The 20,360-nt window shown below is 35.5% G+C and overlaps 1 protein-coding gene across 1 annotated transcript in view; it reads right to left on the bottom strand.

Annotated features, from left to right (window-relative positions):
* Positions 1-20,360, bottom strand: part of ADGB (androglobin) — a 216,491-nt gene that overhangs the window by 137,144 nt on the left and 58,987 nt on the right. The window contains exons 6-9 of the mRNA NM_024694.4: positions 13,979-14,118; positions 11,417-11,503; positions 5,852-6,099; positions 1,878-2,006 (exon numbers count right to left, since the gene is read on the bottom strand). Coding sequence (NP_078970.3) covers positions 1,878-2,006; positions 5,852-6,099; positions 11,417-11,503; positions 13,979-14,118 — 604 coding nt within the window. The remainder of the gene's footprint in view (positions 1-1,877; positions 2,007-5,851; positions 6,100-11,416; positions 11,504-13,978; positions 14,119-20,360) is intronic.

Genomic DNA, 20,360 nt, shown 5'->3' with positions numbered 1-20,360 from the left:
GGAGGTGGAGATTGCAGTGAGCTGAGATTGCACCACTGCACTCCAGCCTGGGCGACACAGCAAGACTCTGTGTCAAATAAACAAATAAACAAACAAACAATATAAATGTCATGTTATATTTTCCATATGAGTTTGAATTGTCACTCAATTACCTCTTGAACACTTACTGTCTATCCATTATCTCCTTTACAAGTGAAACCAAAGCAGCTGATTGAAGGAAATGAATTATAACACCATCAGAAATGCACTTAGATTTAACTCTGTGGGAGAAGGAAGTTCACATGGCCACCCTCATATTTATGCCAGATAAAGGACTCCAATAGAGTTCATTCTAACACTGTATCTTTAGCACATGTAAGAATTAACAAAGGCTTTTGCAATAAATATGCTAAAATGTAGCTCTACCAACAAGTGCTAAGCACTTTACCTGGATTCAACACTTGATTCTCACAAGGACCCTCACCAAAACAATAATGCTGATTTATAGAGATCCTGAGTTTAAAGAGGCTCTATCACTTGCCTGATACTTATACACTCAGTGTTGGAGCAGATATTGAACTCAACCAGCTTGACTCCACAGTCCAAACTGAACCACATTCTATGTGTTGGAATGACCTTAACTGTAAGTTCAGCAGGAGAAGGAAGGCATCATTACTTTTATTTTCACAAAGAAAGAACTCTCAGAAAGTTTTAGCCATTTTCACAAAGATGAAGAACCATCAGTAAATCTGCTAATGTAATGTTTCTCACTATCAAAAAATATTGCTTAAGGCATCAATATAAGAAAATGATTTTTAATGTAGAATTAAAAATACAATAGTGACTTTTTTCTATCCACATCACTAGACATGTTTCAGTAAAAATAAAAAGCCATAATTATTAAAATGTCCTCATATAAATCATCATAATAAGAAAAAAGATAAAAATTTATTAATAAGGCACACTACTAGATGTAAAAACACATATTTTTGACTAGCTAATAAAGGATGAGGTGAAAATGATAACCTGCACTCTGGAAGCACCAAGATAGATGAGCCAAAGCTGAGACTCAAAAGAGACACTCTAGTCTTCCTCCTGATAACCTCCTGAATAGGTTGCGGTATCATTTTTTTACAGCTTGTTTTCTTTCAACCTGATACAATTTGTTTAAAGGCTACTTATACCTAGACTGTTTTAGCTGGTACACAGGACAAAAATGCGGTAGCCAAGGGGTCTTTAGAAATAATTTGTAAGTCCAAATTGGAAAGATTAATTAAAATGAAAGAGCTCCAATGTGATTTTAAGTGATAGAGAAACCCTAGCATTTTCACAAAAATAGTTGACCTTTATACAATGAGGCTATTATAAATAGTTCTTGTACATCCACCCAGTCACAATGCGATACACAAAAAAGTGTGGTTGTCAGTATTGTGATATAAACAATGACTTCCAGAGTCTCCGGCCTCACAGTTACTTTCTAAAACACAGTAAAAGAGCTGGAGGCCCACTGTGAGCAAGGAGCCAGATGTAGGCTTTTTGTTTTATTTGGTGGCTGGCATCTAACCACACAAACAAGTAACTTTGAATTTACTTAATTTGGATGATAAATTCAACCTGAGTATTTTTTAGAGAAATACCTGAAAGCGACCAGCAGAAGCCTCTCCCACATGTGGATACTTCTTCTGTGACAATTGCACTGTAATTTGGACAACAGGCTTCTGTCATTGGTAGGACTTGGCCCAACACGCCCACCCATCTGAGAACCCAACATTTATGGCAACCTTGACTAAGTTTATTTAGTTATTTCAAAAGAAAAAATGTATTTCTATGTTCCAAGGTTTTCCAGCATTTTAAGAAACAACTAAAATAGTTATTATTCTAAGAAATTAGGAGCTTACAATCTGATAGGGACTGCACAGAGTACTGCACTTCTGATGAGGGTCTTGAACCATGAAGTGAGAATTTGAATTTTTCTTTTTCTCCATCTTTGCTTCTCTTCTTTCCAATGTCTCTTGCATCTGCTTTCTCTAACATATGAAAAAATCACAATAAATATTTTAACTAGACAATCTCAAACTATATTTCTTATTCAGTCATTGTCTTAAAGAAAAAAGGCCAAAATAATAGTATTATTTAATGTAAAATTATGCCATAATTTCTCCAAAACATGATCCCCTCTAATTAGAAACACCATGATAAAGCCAGGGAGAACTTTGAAAATTGAGATATATTATGAAATAAATACAGCATTGCTTTTTATCTACTGTATATAATTTTGTTTCATGGAGATAATTATTTGAATATATTTTATTTATATAAGATTATAGTATCAAGGTAATTTTCTCATTTTAAAAATAAAAACAAAACACAGCAAAGCCTGTGCTGAAAGTTAAGTCCTAAATGTAGAGCCCTCTCAGATTTTCCTTATTTGGGTCCTCCACTTACAGGAAACACAGTTTTCTGACTCCAAAATATTTTCTTGTGGAGCCCAGATTCCAACCAAAGTCCCAAACCAGCATCTTATTGCCTACATGGCTTAGGTAATAAAACTCTTGTATCCAGAACGATTCCCACCATTTGAATGCTCATTCATATACTCAATCCACAAAACATATTCTTCTTCAACCTAAAATACTTTTCTCAAAGATTTTTTTAATTCCCTAACAAATCTGTCTCAATTCTGAGACAGAAATTATAGATTTCTGTCATTTCATTCTCTGCATCATCTGCTAAGTTTGTAATCATCATTGGTCAGGTTGCTCATCTTTAAAATTTTCGTAAATAAAAACTGTGACATTATCTACTTATAATGTTTCTGAACATCCAAAATAGACATGTTTCATACCTTAGCTTTTTTTTTTCTTTTTGACAGGCTTTCACTCTGCCACCCAGGCTGGAGTGCAGTGGCGAGGTCTCAGCTCACTGCAGCATTGACCTCCCAGGCTCAGGCAATTCTCCCACTTCAGCCTCCTGAATAGCTGGGACTACAGGTGTGCACCACCACAACTTGCTAATTTTTCTTTTTCTTTTCTTTTTATTTTTCTTTTTTATAGAGACAGGATTTCACCAGGTTGTCCAGGCTGGTCTTGAACTCCTGAGCTCAAGTGGTCTGCCTGCATCAGCCTCTTAAAGTGCTGGGAATACAGGTGTGAGCAACTATGCCCGGCCCATATCTTAGCTTTTTCAGCAGATTTAACACTTAAATTAGATATAAAAGTAAAGATAACTATAACTTCAATCATAGGATAAAACATTTAACCAAGAAGTTTCTGTTTTTAAAAAGTTTATTATCAAAATTTTATTTGTGAATTTTCTATATATATTACCTTAATTCAATAAAACTAATTTTAGGAAGCAATATTTGAGTGCATGTATAATTTTCAAATAGGACTTTAAGAGCTTTCAAACTTCTATTCAGAATTTGTGACTTAAAAATAATACATAATAAAAATTATAAATAGAAAAAAATCAAACTGTTTCACATAGAAATTTGGATAGAATACAACAGTGCTCACCAAAATGTGTTTTTGCCAATACCCTAAATAAGGATTGCTCCTCTGTCATTTCATCCCACCCATCTGGCAAAACCCCACTCTGAATAAACTTGGCAGCTGAGTCCCACTGGAGATAATCCTCCCATAGTTCTGCAAACCTTGCCACATCTATTTTAAATCTCCGTGAGAATCTACATCTTCCACCTCCACCTCACTTTCAGCTCATAGCTAGGCTGTGTATAAACAAAAAGTAGAAGTCTTTGGTCTGAAGTCCTCATCTTCTCCTACCAAACCCGTTTACCCACCTACACCTGTATCCACTCTCCCATAACCTGTGCCCACCTATGAGAATGGAGGAGCCATTGCTCTCCCTGGGCTGGCCCAATCCCCTTATAGCTGGGGTGTGGAACTTGCTCCTTCTTCTCAGAAAACATATACTACTGCAGTCATCTCAGCAGGATCTTCCCAGTCATCACTTAAAAAAAAAAACCAATTTTCCTTCACTAGATTCACAAATATATATTCTGTCTGCCTCCCACATTCTTCTCTATCAGCTTCCACTTTGCAATTTCCTGTTCTTCAAGGACAAGCTTCTCACAGGGTTGTTTATACATTATTTTACTTCCCACTTCCTTCTTACTCCCCTCCAATGTATCTTCTACTCCTATCACTCACAAGTGCACAATGACCTCCATATCACAAATTGTAATTGAGAAATTTAAATTTTCATCATAGTTCATCTTCCCACAATATTTAATACAATCTCTGGTTCCTGCAACACTTTTTCCTTTGGCCCCGATGACAAAATGCTCTGCTGATGTTGTCCCTGCTCCTCTGGCCAGTCCTTACTCTTCATTCAGCAGCTCGTCATTTTGTACCAACCTCTTAGATGTTCCACTTCTTCAGGACTCAGTCTCAGCCTCCTTCATCTGCTCACTCTATACTGTCTCCTTGGTAAATATCATTCCTGGTTTAATTTTGCAGGAATTTGTCAACGACTCCCAAGTGTATATCACCAGCCTAGGAGTCTTGACATGAAAAACCCACTTGGTTGTCTTAAAGGCACCTCAATTTCAATATATTCAAAATCATTTTGTGATCTCTCCTAAATGGTACCACCATCTATCTTGCTCTGCAGCTTGGAATTCTACCAGTCATCATTGTCAAGTTCTGCCACTTTTTACTTTTTAAATAGGAAAAATATGTGTTTAATGGAAATTGAGAGCTAATACTAGATTAATTTAGTAGCATCAAAGTAGAGAATTGCTTTTTATTTTTAAAGAAAGCAAAATGTGGAATAATAATTAGCATATAGTAAACACCATTATAAGTCCTAAAGTCCTAGAAAAGAAAGATCTTAATTACATGGCTGTTGTCACAAAAACTTAAGAAAGGATAACGACAACAAAGATGCATTTCTTAGGGAAGCAGGAGCCTCAGAGGCCCTGAGAAACCCCATTTTAAGTTCAGCTCCATCTTAAGAATAACAAGGCACATTTCTTGCCAGTCATGACTCACAGTCATTACATGTTTATAGCTGAAGATACAGCCTAACGATACCTGCAAGGGACACACTCTTACAACAGAAGAATGTCCAGATGTCCCAATACTGATAGCAATATGTCCATATGTCCCAATGCCCCTAAAAAGTATGCTTTCAAGATAATTATTGTTATGCTTTGATGTACTTAATGCACTAGAATGCCAAGTATAACTTTCTTTAAATCAACAGAATACTACATTTTGTCACGCTGTCAGGACAGCTTAGCTTAGCTTGGGTTTTACATAGATAAGACTCCTATATAAGAAAAACTGGGCTGGATGCAGTGGCTCACACCTGTAATCCCAACACTTTGGGATGCTGAGGCGGGTGGATCACCTGAGGTCAGGAGTTCAAGACCAGCCTGGCCAACATGGTGAAACCCTGTCTCTACTAAAAACACAAAAATTAGCTGGGCGTGGTGGTGCACGCCTGTAACCCCAGCTACTTGGGAGGCTGAGGCAGGCGAATCACTTGATCCTGGGAGATGAAGGTTGCAGTGAGCTGAGATTGTGCCACTGGACTCCAGCCTGGGCAACAAGAGCGCAACTACATCCCAAAAAGAAAAAAAAAAAAAAGAAAGAAAAACTGAAAACAAAGACAGCACCTTTCTTTGCTTGCTGAAGATGCCCTACTCTGTAACTGAGGAGCTTTCAATAAACTATCTCTTCTTACTTCATTCTGTGACCTGCCTTGAATTCCCTACTGTGTGAGATCCAAGAACCCTCTCTTGGGGTCTGGATCAAAACCACTCTTTCCAGCAACACATCAAATAAAATTGTAAGGCATTTATATGCAATGTCCATACTGAATCACATTTTGATGTAAAATATCTTACCCTTTGGAACTTTGTCGCTTTTCTCAGGAGCCTTTAGTGTTGTCAAAGAACTTTCAGGTTTGAATTCCTTCACGTCTTTTACTTCCTTTCCATCCTTTATTTCTTTTCCCTCCTTCCCTTCTTTCCCTGGTTCTTTTAATTTAGAATCTAACACTGCTATTTTGCTTTCAGAGCTGGCCTCATCTGACAGCTTAAACTCAGGCAATATTTCTTTCAGGAGCTCCCAAACTTTGTCCATATATCCCGGGCTAAGAGAAAAGACAAAAACATTAATTTCCAAACGATGTTTTTTTTTTTCCTTGAACTTCGCAAGAAATTACTGACAGAAAAATCAACTTGCTATTTAATGAATAATTTCAATTGTTACTCAAATTTTTAGTTAAAAGAACAGCATTATGTATTAGACATTCAACAAGCTTTCATTGCGTGCCTACTGTGTGCTGGGCTTTGCTGATACAAAGCGACCAAAACCATGGTGTTATCTCAGAGATCACTCGCCCTGGTAGGGAAGCTAATCACGTTAACAGCCAGGACAGGGAAAGAACATGTCCTTGAGCATCTATTAAGTGGCAGACACTTTTGCATGCATGATCACTTATGTAGAAGGTCCTTATCTTATTAGGCTTCTCTGTGGAATGTGACAGTGTTGTTTCTTGCTTTTAATTCTTCCCTGAGGCTTCCATAACATCCCTCTTTCCTGGTTTTCTTTCTGTTGTCATAGAAATTACTTGCAGACTCCTTTGAACACTCCCTTTCTTCTGCTCACTGTTGACAATTTAATTCTTTTCCCACAGCTCTCCTCTTGGTGTTCTTGCCATTTTACATAGTATTTCCTCATATTTTGAGTTTATCCATAAATGTGTGTCACCTCTAAATCATTAGTTCCAGCTCAAACCTCTCTCCTGATATCCAGACTCACACATACAACCACCTAACAGGTATTTGTCCCAAGCAAATAAAAAAAGATAAGTAAACAAAAATGTCCTGCATCACCTTCTACTTAGTACTCAAAGCAGAAAATTCAGAATGACCAAGACTCTCTCTTTAAAATCCCCTTCAAATAAAACACAGTGTCCGTTGGATACTACCTTTTCTCAGTGCAGTGGATCCCCTTTTCTCCATTCTCATCACCACTTCCTTGGCAGAAGCCCTCAGAAGACCCCCCTCAAGAATACTGCACAAGCCAGTCTCGCTGTTCCACTCCTGCCATTTGCTGTTCTAAGGCTCTGAGCAATCTTTCAAAACCATGAGTCTGATACAGTCATCCTCCTGTCTACAATCCCTTAGTGACATCTGATCATTTTAAGGAGGTTGTAAAAGTGTCAGCATGGCATAAAAGGCCTATCTATCTAGATCCTATTTACCTTTCCATTCCCACATCCTATTCCTCCTCTAGGATTCCATAGCACATAATGCAGAACCACATGTTTTTCTGGGATGCACCCTGCTTTCTTCTATTTCCTTGATATATTTTCTTCTGTGAGTTGGATTCCCCACCTCAATCAGCTTCATTCATTTCAACTAATCCTTTGAGATAAATTCAAGTATTATCCTCTGCAGGAATTAAACTATAGGTTTCTGTTCTGAGTTCCCAAAGAATCTTTTACGCTCTCCTAGTATTCTAGTATAGCCTTTAAAAATTTTTTTTTTAATTCTCATTTTACACAATTCATTGAGCACATACTGTATCCCAGTCATTCCGTGTCACTGTTCTAAACACAGAAGGCACTACATTGAGCAAAACAAAAGAGGGTCCCTGTTCTTGTGGACAACTTTACATCCAATGGTTGGATAAAACAGAGACAGAGAATAACAACAGTGATAACTTCCATGATGAAAATGAAATAAGGGAAGCTGAAATGTGGCATAACTTGGGGAAGGAATAACTTAGATTGGATGCTCAACTAGGCCTGTCTAAGGAGTTGATGGTTAAGCTTGGTGAAACCCAGGCGTTGTGACATACCCAGCTAGGTGAATAATCTGATGAAAGGTCATTCCAGGCAGAAAAAAATAAGAGTAGCCCATGTAAGGACCGTAAGGTAGAGTGAGTTTCATTATATTTCAGAAACAGAAAGAAGACTTGGGTGACCAGTAAATGGTTGCCAAGACATTGATGTGGTCAGTGATGAGGTCAGAGACTGTGTGAATCAGACAGTGTAGATCTCTGAGGATCATGGTCAAGACTGTAAAACTTCATTCAAGTGTAATAGTTAAACACTGAAAGGTTTTAAGCGAGGAAAACGATATGATCTGATTTATACTTTAGAAAATTCTTCTGATTACCAACTTAACTAAAGGAGGGTAAAATAGACTCTAGGAGACCAGTTATAAGTCTATTACATGTGATCAGTGGTTGAACTAGGATGGTAATAATGCAGATGTAGAGAAACAAATAGGTTCAGAGTAAGTAGAGAATGTACTGTTGACAGATGCCAGTGAGAGATTTTATGTGAGAGGCAAGGAAAATGAGCAATGAAGGATGACTTCTAGTTTTTTTCTTTAGCTTGAATAAATAGGTGGTTGGTAGTGAAATTCACTGAGATGATGCATTCTAGGGATGGTGCAGTTTAGGAGGTTGAGAATCAAGAGTTCCTTTCTGGATATTCTGAGTTTAAGATACACTTTTGACATTCACATAGCTACGTAACTTAGGCAGTTGTAGATAAATACAGTCTAGAGTTCGGGCAATGGTGACCAGGCATAAACTTGAAAATCATTGTCAAACAGTTTGTTATTTAAAGTTACAGGACAGGAGCCCTGCTACACACCATCACTTAGTAGCTGTACTGTGGTTGAGGAACTATCCAAGAAGCCTGAGAAAGAGCAGAAAATAAGAAGGAGAAAAACCCAGAGAGTGTGTTGCTGAGGAAACCAAGGGAAGCAAGTGTTGCAAAAGGAAATAACTTGTTTAAGAGGGTCACATACTGGGATGCAAGTAAATGAGGCAGGAGAGGTGATCACTGGATTTGACAATATTAAGGTCTTTGTTGACTTTAAGAAGAGCCATTTCACTGGTGTGGTGGACGGGGAAGGTCAAACAGTCAGATGAGAAGAAACGGGGAGTTGAGGAGATGAAGACAGTGTGTACAAACCACTCATTTATTAAGATTTTTTTTCCTGAGGAAAACAAGGGAAATGAACTGGTGACTGGAAAATAATAATTGGTTTCCCTGTGCATCTCTGATCTGCTCGACTCCCTGAACTGCCTCCTATTCATCCCTGGATCTCCACTACCCAGCAGAGTGGCCTTTAGCACATTTTATTGTTTTTTCATTTGATCCCATGACAGCTCTGGAACATTATACAGTATTAACTGATGTTTAAGAGGTTGTTAAGTTGTATGGCATCACACAACCAGCAAATAATTGAGTCAGGATAGGAACAGACCTTTCTGAATCCAAAATCTAGGTTGTATTTCCCATCTACCACATAAAATATGCTGCACTATGAAAAAGACCTATTCAAACACCACGGAATGAGACCATATAACTTCTTGGATGATTAGGCTTAAAGACAGGGTGGCAGAGTGCTATGTTCACAGAGAGACCATGCATCAGAGACACGTGCCAACAAGAGTCCTTTGAAGTGGTTGGATTTCTAATTCCCACTCAGACATGTCACTGACTCTGCTTCTATTATTACATGGAAAATTAGAAGATACTCTGTTTTGATTTTCCGAGGCAAAATTTTATGAATTTTCTAGTTGTGAATTATTCTCGTCTCTTGTTTCTTTACCATCCTCTGGTAGAATTCTGATGATTTCCTGTCTCTGGTATCTCTACTGACTATTGCACAGAGAAAATTGCACAGGAAAAACTGTAAGCATTCCATCAACACTAAGTATAAAAATTTATAGAGCTCCATACTTTTAAAATCTCATTTTCTCTCTACTTCTCTCACTAACATTGTACACATTATGTCAGGAAGTCATTTAGATAATAGGAAAAGTTTCCAAAAGAAGATATAAAAGAGTGCTATCTTGGCCTTTCCTAAGATAAAAACAAGATCAGCTCCTACCCTCCAGTTTTTTCTCCCTGAAAATACTTTTATGTGAACAAAGCAACACCCAAGTTTATCCTGCTGAAAATATGGTGAAGATGGCAGAATCCAAGTTACTAGGGCCTGTCTTCAACCTCCTCTAATCTCTATTGCCCCTGGGGAATTGCAGCTTCCTATTACCAGTCAAAGATCAGAGATGGTCCAGGTTGATAACTGTACTGTAGATTTAATCATCTTGTAAAAGTCAGTATCTGAGTTAAGGGTATATTCAAATCTATTGTTATAATTCTTTTCTATGCACCTTATCTTGATTTGTTTCCAAATGTCAATGGTAAAATGATAAAACGGTGCATCTATATTCCTTATGTATTAAATAAAACGATCGTGAAATTATAAGTCAGCACTAAGTTGAGCAATGTCTCTATTCTATTCTTTACCTAATAGCTATTTTTGGACATAAAGAAGCAATTTCTCTATATCTAGAATCACATGAAAGAAAGACTGTGGGCTTTGGACCAGCAAGACTTACATGTTCCTAGTTTGGGGGAATTCAACCTCTGAGAGCTTTAGTTTCCTCATTTGAAATGATGTACACCTAGTTGATGGGGTCATATGGATGATTAAATAAGACTATCCTTTCAGGACTGTGATTTTTAAACGAGAAGTAATATACTAAAATACTTGATGCATAATAGTTGTCTTCTTATGATTATTTCCATATAGATGTGGCCAATTAAAAGTTGCTGTTATGTTTCTATATTGAAGTAAGTGTGACAGGTTTATAAGTGTAAAGGGAAGTTTGCAAATGTTTTACCATAATAAATAATTACCATTGTTTAAATATTTGTACATCGGATATTTAAAGATTAAATTCATAGTATATATATAAGTGTGGGAGACCTGCACATGCCACCCCAAAATATGAAGGACTGCTGAGCTACAGGCAATCCCTATGAAGAAGCAGATACACAGAAACTCTGTTTTCCCTCTATTTGCCTAAAAGCAAGATATAGATTTACAAAAACCAAGAGGTATCCTGCCCCTCACTCCCTTGTGCCAGAGAGAACAGGTGTTAACCACTGAAGACAGCTTTGGACCCTTACTGGCCTGAGGAATTGTACCAGAGGAATCTACATGAACAGCCTTTCATAACTAGCCTTTATCTATCATTTATTTGCCTTCCCACAAGTTGCCACCTGTAGAGGCTCAAAGTCATTTTCTTTTGTCTTGTCACTTCTGTAAAAATTGACTGTTCTTTGTTGTAGATTTCCCATGGAAATCCACATGGTAATAAACTTCTGTGTGTTTTTCTCTTGTTAATGTGTCTTCTGTTACAGGAGTCGGTTCCAACAAAGAACCTATGGGGGTCATTGTTCTCCTACATAAGGAAATAGAATTTACCCTGAAATTCCCAAGGAACTTTATATAATACTACAAAACGATATTTTCCCCCAAATTTTGCAAAACATGACCTTTCTTGAAATTTTCTTAAAGGCTAGGAATATTTTAAAGAAATCTTGGGAAGATAAAAAAAATAGATATGAGCAATTTAATAGTCAAACATACTGAAGAGAAATGACTTCTGGTAACCATCCTGTGAGCGCATGAATAACCGTGAACTCCCCCAGCTCTCTCCTGTCTGCTACATGGATGCTAAAAAAGAACATGCATAATGTTACAGGTAGCAAAATTTGAAAACACATAAAGATATATAAGAACTAGGAATCATTAATAAACAGCAATATATTCTGATTATTCATTATAGACTGTATTAAAAAATACTATCCCAGAAGCCAAATTATTTGTTAAAACACTGAAGTAGGATTTATAATATAATTAATTTCATTTGTATTTGCAAGGCATGTTTATATGCTTTATTTTTTAAGATCTAAAAGTAATATTAATGCTATATACATGAAATATATTCACATTATATATTATGAAATATATAATTAGAATATAATCCATTTTTGTATACTTCTTTTAAAAACAGAACAGTCTCTTTTATCATTCTGATTTCAGTAATTATTTTAAGATGTCTTTGAAGCTGTGTGTTAGATCAGTCTCATCTATGGCAAGTCAAGATGGGCATCAGAAATCCTTAGATAACTGTGGAGAAACCAGAAACATCTGTTCTGTCCTGTACAGAAGAGTGGATCTGTCAGCTTAGCATAAAGTAAAACGAGGATATGATTAACCAAGTATCACTATTCTCATTTAGACCTCTTATTTTTTTCCCTGAAGTTATTAGTCTATTTACATTTACATGCAAAAATGCCATATCTCCCTTCTGCCCGGGAGTCACGGCTTCAGCTGACTATCCGTCAGTGGTAGTGTTAATGGCATTACCAACACATGTGTGCCTTTCTTCAGAAAGAAATCTTACTATCTTAGTCACATATGCCATTATTTTAAAATGTGCACTGTTTTGTTGTTTATGGATTACAAATTTCTATATGTCTACGTATTTCAAAGATAATAAGTGTCTATTGGGATAGATCCCAGACTAGTCTAAACTCCTCATTGGACAAATTTATGAAGTGACTTTGCAAATCAAATAGAAATAATGCTCTTTTCTGTGCATATCTCACATTGACATTGAAATTACTATGTGTTAATTTGGAAAATGTAGTAAGCTAATCCTCATATAAAAGCAATCACTATGTACTGTAAAAATCTGAAAAAAATTATGGAAAAATATAAATTGTACCATGTAGGGAAACTTTCCACCAGAATTCCCAAGAAATGTATTACACTTAGCTTGTTGCTTTATTTACTAATTGGATTTTTTAAACAATAATAATAACCCTAATACTTATGTTGCTATAAATTTCTACTGAACTACAGCTTTAAGAAAGATAAAATACCACTCCAATTATCCAGGTCATGTATTCAATGCCTCACTGCTCTAGCAGCTCTGATTCTCAGAACTTCAAGTTATGTCTGAGAACTAGAAACATTCAGAACATTTTTTTTTCCCAAATAAATGAACATGCCACCGGTATGAATACTTAGTGCTATTCAGCTACCTACAAAGATCTGGGCTGAGTTTTTATGAAAATCATTGCAATTAAGTGCTAAAAGCTGGGTGAAACTAATTCCCAAAGGAAAACTGAGGGCTGGTAAGGAAAAAACAGATATGAAGAGGATGGCAGTAGGAGTGGTTGTTTTTGTTTTGTAGCCTTGGGAGAGAAAAATGAAGCTGTGCCTAAAGAAAATCCACACAAAGCAGGCCTGACTTCTGACTAACATTGCAATGTTTATAGAAGGGGAGGGGGCTGAGCTGTGAGCAAATCTCTAACATGTACTGTTAAAGCATGTGGGTGTGTCCTGTTAAATATCGAGAATCTTTGACAAACTGCAGGAGGTGGACGTGTATAAAATCCCAGCCTGTGCAATGTATGTGAGCATCTTCCAGTGAGCAATGAGGCAAAATTGCCATGCATTTCCAACACGATCATCAAAGATTTTTTGCATTGTTAGGGCCAGGATGGTATGACTCCTTTTCTCTGGAAGTGTAAGCTGAGGGAATAGCACATAGCAGATGTGTCTCATATATGTTGGTGCACAAGTCAGGCAGGAATATAAGACAGAAACCAATTTTGTAAGAATACTGAAGAAAATATGAGTAGTTTTCATCATGAATGTATCAAAAGTGAGCAATGTTACCAAAATCATGAAGCGTACATTGACATCTTTCAGAAAAGTTCAGGTTTTTCAAGATTAGTAAATTATTGCTGCATATACAGAACCTAAATCTTTAACTAGATTTCAGGATATATTATTCAGTATTTAGATGAACCAATATTTTTCTCCCACAAAACAATTTTTTCTCCTATTAAACAAAACATCATTTTCCATGATCAAATTTCCATTCATAGTAAGACAGCACTGAACATAGAATAATTCTTGGGTATATTTTTCTTGGAGGAATTTTGCATTATTGTTAACCTAATAGAAAAAATCAGTGGTTTTGGCGTATTTGATTTTATACTAGAGCATTACATTGTTTAGGGGAAAAAGCTGTCTTTTAGCTAATTTTAAAAAAATAAATTATGCAATACAAATGTATAGTTAATGTTTTTGTTTGCTTTTTTTATTCATGTGAGTGATAGTGTCATTACATACTCAATATTTGCCAGCTTGATAATAGCTTTAGACAAAAGCATTGGCCACAGTTCAAATTCATAAGTTGTAGCTGGAAGCAATAGATTGTTATCTTCATCAAAAGGCAAAAAGTCATCAATTGTTATCTTTCTCCAGCAACCCTAAAAATAAGATGAAAGAAATGTAATACCATCAATGGCTTACAGTCTTTTCTCTCGTAAATGATTGCACGTGGCTGACATTACTATTTACCGTTTTCCAATTTTATTTTAGCATCTTACACTGAAAGACGGAGATACTGGATTTCAATACTACTCTGGTTGAATATGTTAGCTTATTGCTTTATTTAGCATAATCACAGCTCACCCATGTCTATATCAATATTGTCTTTACTTATGAGGTCTTGTGAACAAAGTCTTGGGAGTCCCTTACTGCATAATGCAGGAAATTGAGGTGTTTCAAGGACCAGAACCAAAACATTATACAACCATGGATAAGCTTGGACATAATCAAATAACTTAACATAGTCAAAATACAAATTCTCCAAATATAACTTTAGTAATTATTGCTTATCTTGATGTATCCTCACTGATCTTACACTTCCAATTCTCATATTATTCCTGCTCCTAATTAATTTCTTGATCAACAAGAAACCACAGAGAAATAAGCCAGATGCAAAAGGATAAATACTGTATGATTACTGAACATGTATATCTATATTGAACATATCTATCCTGAACATATAAAAAATACGTTTGCGTGCATGTGTCTATGTGTGTATACATACAGAATGTTTCTCCCCAAAATTCATGTGTTGAAATCCTAATGCCCAAAGTGATAGAATTAGGTAAAAAGGAGGGTAAAGCCCTCATGAATGGGATTTGTGCCCTTTTAAGAAGTTGAAGAAACCAAAGTTTTTCTCTTCCACCATGGAATTTTATGGCAAGAAAATGGCCAGCCATTTATGAACCAGGGAGCAGGGCTTTGCCAGACACCAAATCTACCAGTGCCTTGATCTCACACTTCCCAGCCTCCAGAAATATAAAAAATAAATTCTTGCTGTTTATAAGTCACCAGTCTATAGTATTCTGGTATAGTAGCCTTAGTTGTTACAAGACTAATATTATTAAGGTTATATATACTTATATATATATAAAAAACCTTAATATTATTATATATAATATATAATATATAATAAATATATATTATATATTTATAATTATATATATAATTATATATTTATTATATTTATACTATAATTACATATTTATATAATTATATAAATATATGACCTTAATAATAAGATTATTTTGATCTATATTATTAAGATTATATAAAATTATGAAGATATATATTATTAAGATTAAGATATATATTATATACATTATAACATATATATTTATATGTGTAATATATAACATTATTAAGTTATATATATATTATATATAAGAAGATTGTGGAATGAAGTCTTATTATCTGGGTAGCAAACAAAAGTGGCAGACCAGAATAGTACATCAGAGGCTTTATAAACTAAACTGGCATTTGAGACACAGCCGATAAATGTGAGCCAGGATGTGCCTTCTGAATCTAAACACGTTGACTACTTGCTAAAATATAAAACTAATTAGCAATCAGAGTTGTAAAACATAACACTACAAATATTCAGGAAACTGTATAAAATTACCTATCATACCAAAACCCAGAAAAGTCTCAATTTCAATGGGAAAATACAGTCGACAGGCCACAAAACCAAAATGACAGAGAAATTAGAATTATTAAATAAGAAATTTACAGCAATTCTCACAAAAATGTTCCAACAAGCAATTATGAACACTCTTGAAACAAATTCAAAAATAGAAACTCTCAGCAAAGAAATGGAAGATATAAAGGCATAAAAATAGAAATTTTAAGCTTAAAATTAAACTAAAAAGCAACTCTCAATTGATGAGATCAATAGCAGAATGCAGATAGCATAGAAATTAGTGAACTGGACATTAGATCAATAGAAATTACGAATAACAGGAAAATATAGTATCAACAATCATATAAGGCTCAGGGACCTGTGCGGATAATGCAAAAAGATATAATATTCATGTCATTGTTGCCACTGAAAAAAAGAAGAGAAAGAGAGAGTGGGGCAAAAAATATAGTTGAAGGAATAATGGCTGAAAACTCTCCCAAATTGTCATAAGACATAAACCTACAAACTCAAGGAACTCAGACTAAACCAAATAGGATAAACTTAAAGAATTCTACAGCCAGACAGATCGAATTCCAACTTCTTAAAAGTTAAGACAAAAGAAAAAAGCTTGAAAGCCAGCAGCAAGAAAAGACCTGTTAGAGGGGAAGGACAGATTGCTCACCAGGAGCCAGGGAGGCCAGAAGAATAATTCTGGCTGGCCTGGAGGAAAATTCTGGAAGGCTGGAAAATTAATGGCACACTAAATACCAAATGCTGAAAGAAAATTACTGCTAACCCAGAATCATATCACTAGGGAAAATATTCTTTAGGAATAAGAGTAAAATAAACACATTCTCAGATAAAGGAAAGATAAGATAATTTGTCATCATTAGAGTGTCTCAAAAGGAATTGCGAAAGAAAATTTTTCAGAAATAAAAAGAAAGGAGAATAAAAGGAAAAATGGAACATCAAGAATGAGAAAGCATAAAGGAAAAATTTTACATGCCAGTTAAAATATTTACTTAAAAAATAAAAAATGAACATATGACTAAATGTGGTACTCTTGTCTTCAAATTTTTTATATTGTGTTTGAATTTAAAAGCAAAATTTATGATGAAGTTTTCAATATATACACAGGAAATGTTTAAAAAAACTATATCAGTGGTTGGGTGTGGTGGCTCACACCTGTAATCCCAACACTTTGGGAGGCCGAGACAGGAGGATCACTTGAGGTCAGGAATTCAAGACCAGCCTGCACAACATAGTGAGACCCTGTCTCTACAAAAAATAAAATTAGTCAGGCGTGATGATGGCATACCTGTAGTGCTAGCTACTTGGGAGGCTGAGGCAGGAGGATCACTGGATCCCAGGAGTGGAGGCTGCAGTGAGCTATAATTGTGCCACTACACTCCAGCCTGAGCGACAGAGTCAGACCCTATCTCCAAAAAAAAAAAAAAAAAGAAAAAAAGAAAAAAAAGTAAAGGAAAAAGGAAAAGAAAGCTATATTAGAAAAGGAGGAATATAAAGAAGACTAAATGGTGGTAAAGTATTTATATTCCAATTCAAGTGGTAAAATCATGATACTAGTTGACTGTGATAAGCTATGCATGTATATTTTAATTCATAAAGTGAAGAGATTTGCTTGAAAGCACTATAGGTCAATCAAAATGGAATCCTAAGGAATGCCCAAGAAACATACAGGAGTAAAGGAAAGGGGATTAAGAATGCAATAAATACAAAGTAACACACACAAAATAAGAAAGGTAACAAAGAACAAACAAAGAATAAAATCACAGACTTCAATTCCAATTACATCAAATATAAATGTTCTATACAGACAAATTAAAATACAAGAGTAACTTGAATATACTTATCAAAAATTAAGAATTTGCAAATATTTTGATGGAATAACTCCATATGGTAGAAATCCTAGAAAAAGAAGTCCGTACAAATGGGCAAAGACTATATACATAAAGATGAAATTTTACAGCATTGTTTGTTTTGGTAAAACACTGGTCCTAACCTAAATGTTTACCAATATCAAATTAGCAATATATATTATATTTACATATCTCACACAATGGAATACAAAGTAGATCAATATATATTAGCATAGAAAATGACTGTGTGTAGGGAAAAGAATAGTGTACAGAATAATACATTTCTATGACCCTATTGTTATAAATTATGTACAATAGCTTTATGTATGTTTATAAGAATAGAAGAAAGCTTAGGAGGATATAAATAAATCATTTGCTGTGATTAAATATGGTAAAATTACGGGGAACTTTCACTGCATACTTTGAACATTTTAACAGTAGTTGAATTTCCTGTTTTAAAAGCATGTATAATATTACATATAATGAAATAAAGCATTTCCATTTTGGAACAAAGTAATTGAATGATAGAAAAATAATTTTGTCATAGTTTATATCTTGCAAACATTGTTCCTCAAATTTAATGAACAAAAATGTCACTGGATGAGAGAGTTTTCTTATAATGCAGGATTGCAGGCTCTACCCTGGAAATTCAAACTCATGAGGTCTGGAGTGGGGCATGGGAAGTGGATGTTTAAGAAGTACAACAGCCAGTTTGATGTTGGGGGGTTTCTGTACCACAAAATTAGGAAACTCTGAATTCTAGAATAACATTGTGGTTAAGCAGTATAAGGCTCAATCAGAAATAAAGCAAATGCATTTTTATATAAACATATTGATGGCAACTGGGAAAAATTATTGGTCCTAATGTGTGTGTTTTCTCTGTTTATCAGAAACAAATGAAAGCACAGAGACACTCAGAGAAAAGCTGCCATCAGCAATACATATTTCAAGCGGAGAGCAATGGCTAACCTGCTTCTTTCGGGGGCCCAAAGGAATGCTGCCATTGGAAGGCACTTGACGAGATGATATGTGTCCCAGCATTAGTATCATCATTCCCAGGTGAAAGACGGGAGAGAGCTGCTCTGTGTCACAACCCTGTTCTTAATGCTACTCAATAAATTTCTATCTGGCTGAGGTCAAAGAACTTGATACAATTTACTTAGAATCCAAACTGGAAATAATAAAAATACTTTCATAGAAAAAATGATAACCTGGTGTGAAAATCAGAATTTTTAAATGTCATGCCAAGAGGCTCTGAGAGGTTGGTTTGCCTCAAAGAAGTGATAAAGGTAAATGTTTTACAGGACAAAGTGAATGAGGGAGAAGAATATTTGTGATAAGGCAGAGAAGAAAAATCAATTTCCAATAAGAAAAAGGTAAGAAAGCTTTAAGAAACTAAAGAAGAAAAACAGTGAGAAGAAGACTCATCATGTCTCATAAGATGGGAAACGGGAAAGAAAATAAATGTAGGGTATAAGATGAATCTGTAGTGTATTGTACTGAATCAAGAAGTAGAAGTAATAATGCATATTTTATAAACATGTTTCCCAAATACTTGCAGAGAGAAGCAAATGACAGACATGTACAAGTGCTCAACTAGAATTGGAAGAGAAAAAAATCAAAATCAAATTGAGTGTGTCTGGAAAGGAAAGAAACGGATAAAAAACCAACCACATAGGATTTGCATGTAAGACAGAATTGACTCTAACTTCTTACTAATGTTAATATGTACACAGATATTGACTCAGCCCTATCACCTGGGGATCAGGTAGAAAGAAATAAAAATTTCTGCCCTAAGCCTAGAGAGAACAGATTCTACTAATCAGAAAACCAGGCAGCTGCCTCTCTATCACATGCCTACCAAAATAATTCATAGGGAACTGGTATGTCAGTGCTCACAGCATCCTCTGTAGGCATTCCTCTGATGAGACCACTGAGGAAACAGAGGGAGCCAGTGGAGCTGAGGTCCAGTCTCTACCACATCGTTCCCTAAAGGGCTAAATTATCTAGAGGTGGGCTAAATGACTGGACCAGACTGAGATTTCCAAAGTGGGCTCAATACATTTTTAAACAAATTTCTGAATCAAGTGGAGTTGAGCTTGTGAATAATCAGTATGATTAAGGAGAAATAAGTCACATTTTCTTTGCAAAATGGAAAGTGATGTTAATGAATGTTAACTCCTATGCAGGAGGAAATTTGAAAACCAAGGAGGGATGTCAGGAAGCAGAAAGAGAGAATGAGAAATAAATCAACAGGGTTGGTTCAATGTTTCAAAACACTTCATAGTTTTGACCTTCCTCCCACCTCAAGTTTAGACAAATGTGGGACAGGAACCAGGGCATTTTATCTCCTCGCTTTTCCTCTGCGTACCTTCTTTCTATACTCCCTCAACACTATCCACTAGGTTTTTCACCTTTTTAATATCACCCTTCTGCTTGCTCCTCTGCACAGATTTAAAACTTAAAGTCTAGTCTAGATAATAGTCCTCTTGATTGGTAAATAAATAAGATAAAGTAACTTAGAAAGTTATTTTCTCTTCTAACAAAATTTCAAGGCCAATTGTCTTGCTGTGGATGTTTAAAAAACAAAAATCCAATTTTGGATATTAGAAGCTATATTACCTTTTTCCCTTTGCCCTTCCCATTGTAATTATCCTAACAATTTCTCATTATTGGCCCTTCAACATTCCCCATCCCAGGAAGCTAGATGGCTCAGGCCTATGAAAGAAAAAGTTACATTTTCATAAATATATAATGGAATTATTAACTTTTAATACTTTCCCATTCCTTTAAATGTTCAAGGAGGACATTCTTTTCCAGTGACAAGGGCCAAGAAAAACCC

The sequence above is a fragment of the Homo sapiens genome, chromosome 6, assembly GCF_000001405.40.
Source record: "Homo sapiens chromosome 6, GRCh38.p14 Primary Assembly".
Taxonomy (NCBI): Eukaryota; Metazoa; Chordata; class Mammalia; order Primates; family Hominidae; genus Homo; species Homo sapiens.
This window is presented reverse-complemented; position numbering and strand designations above follow the sequence as displayed.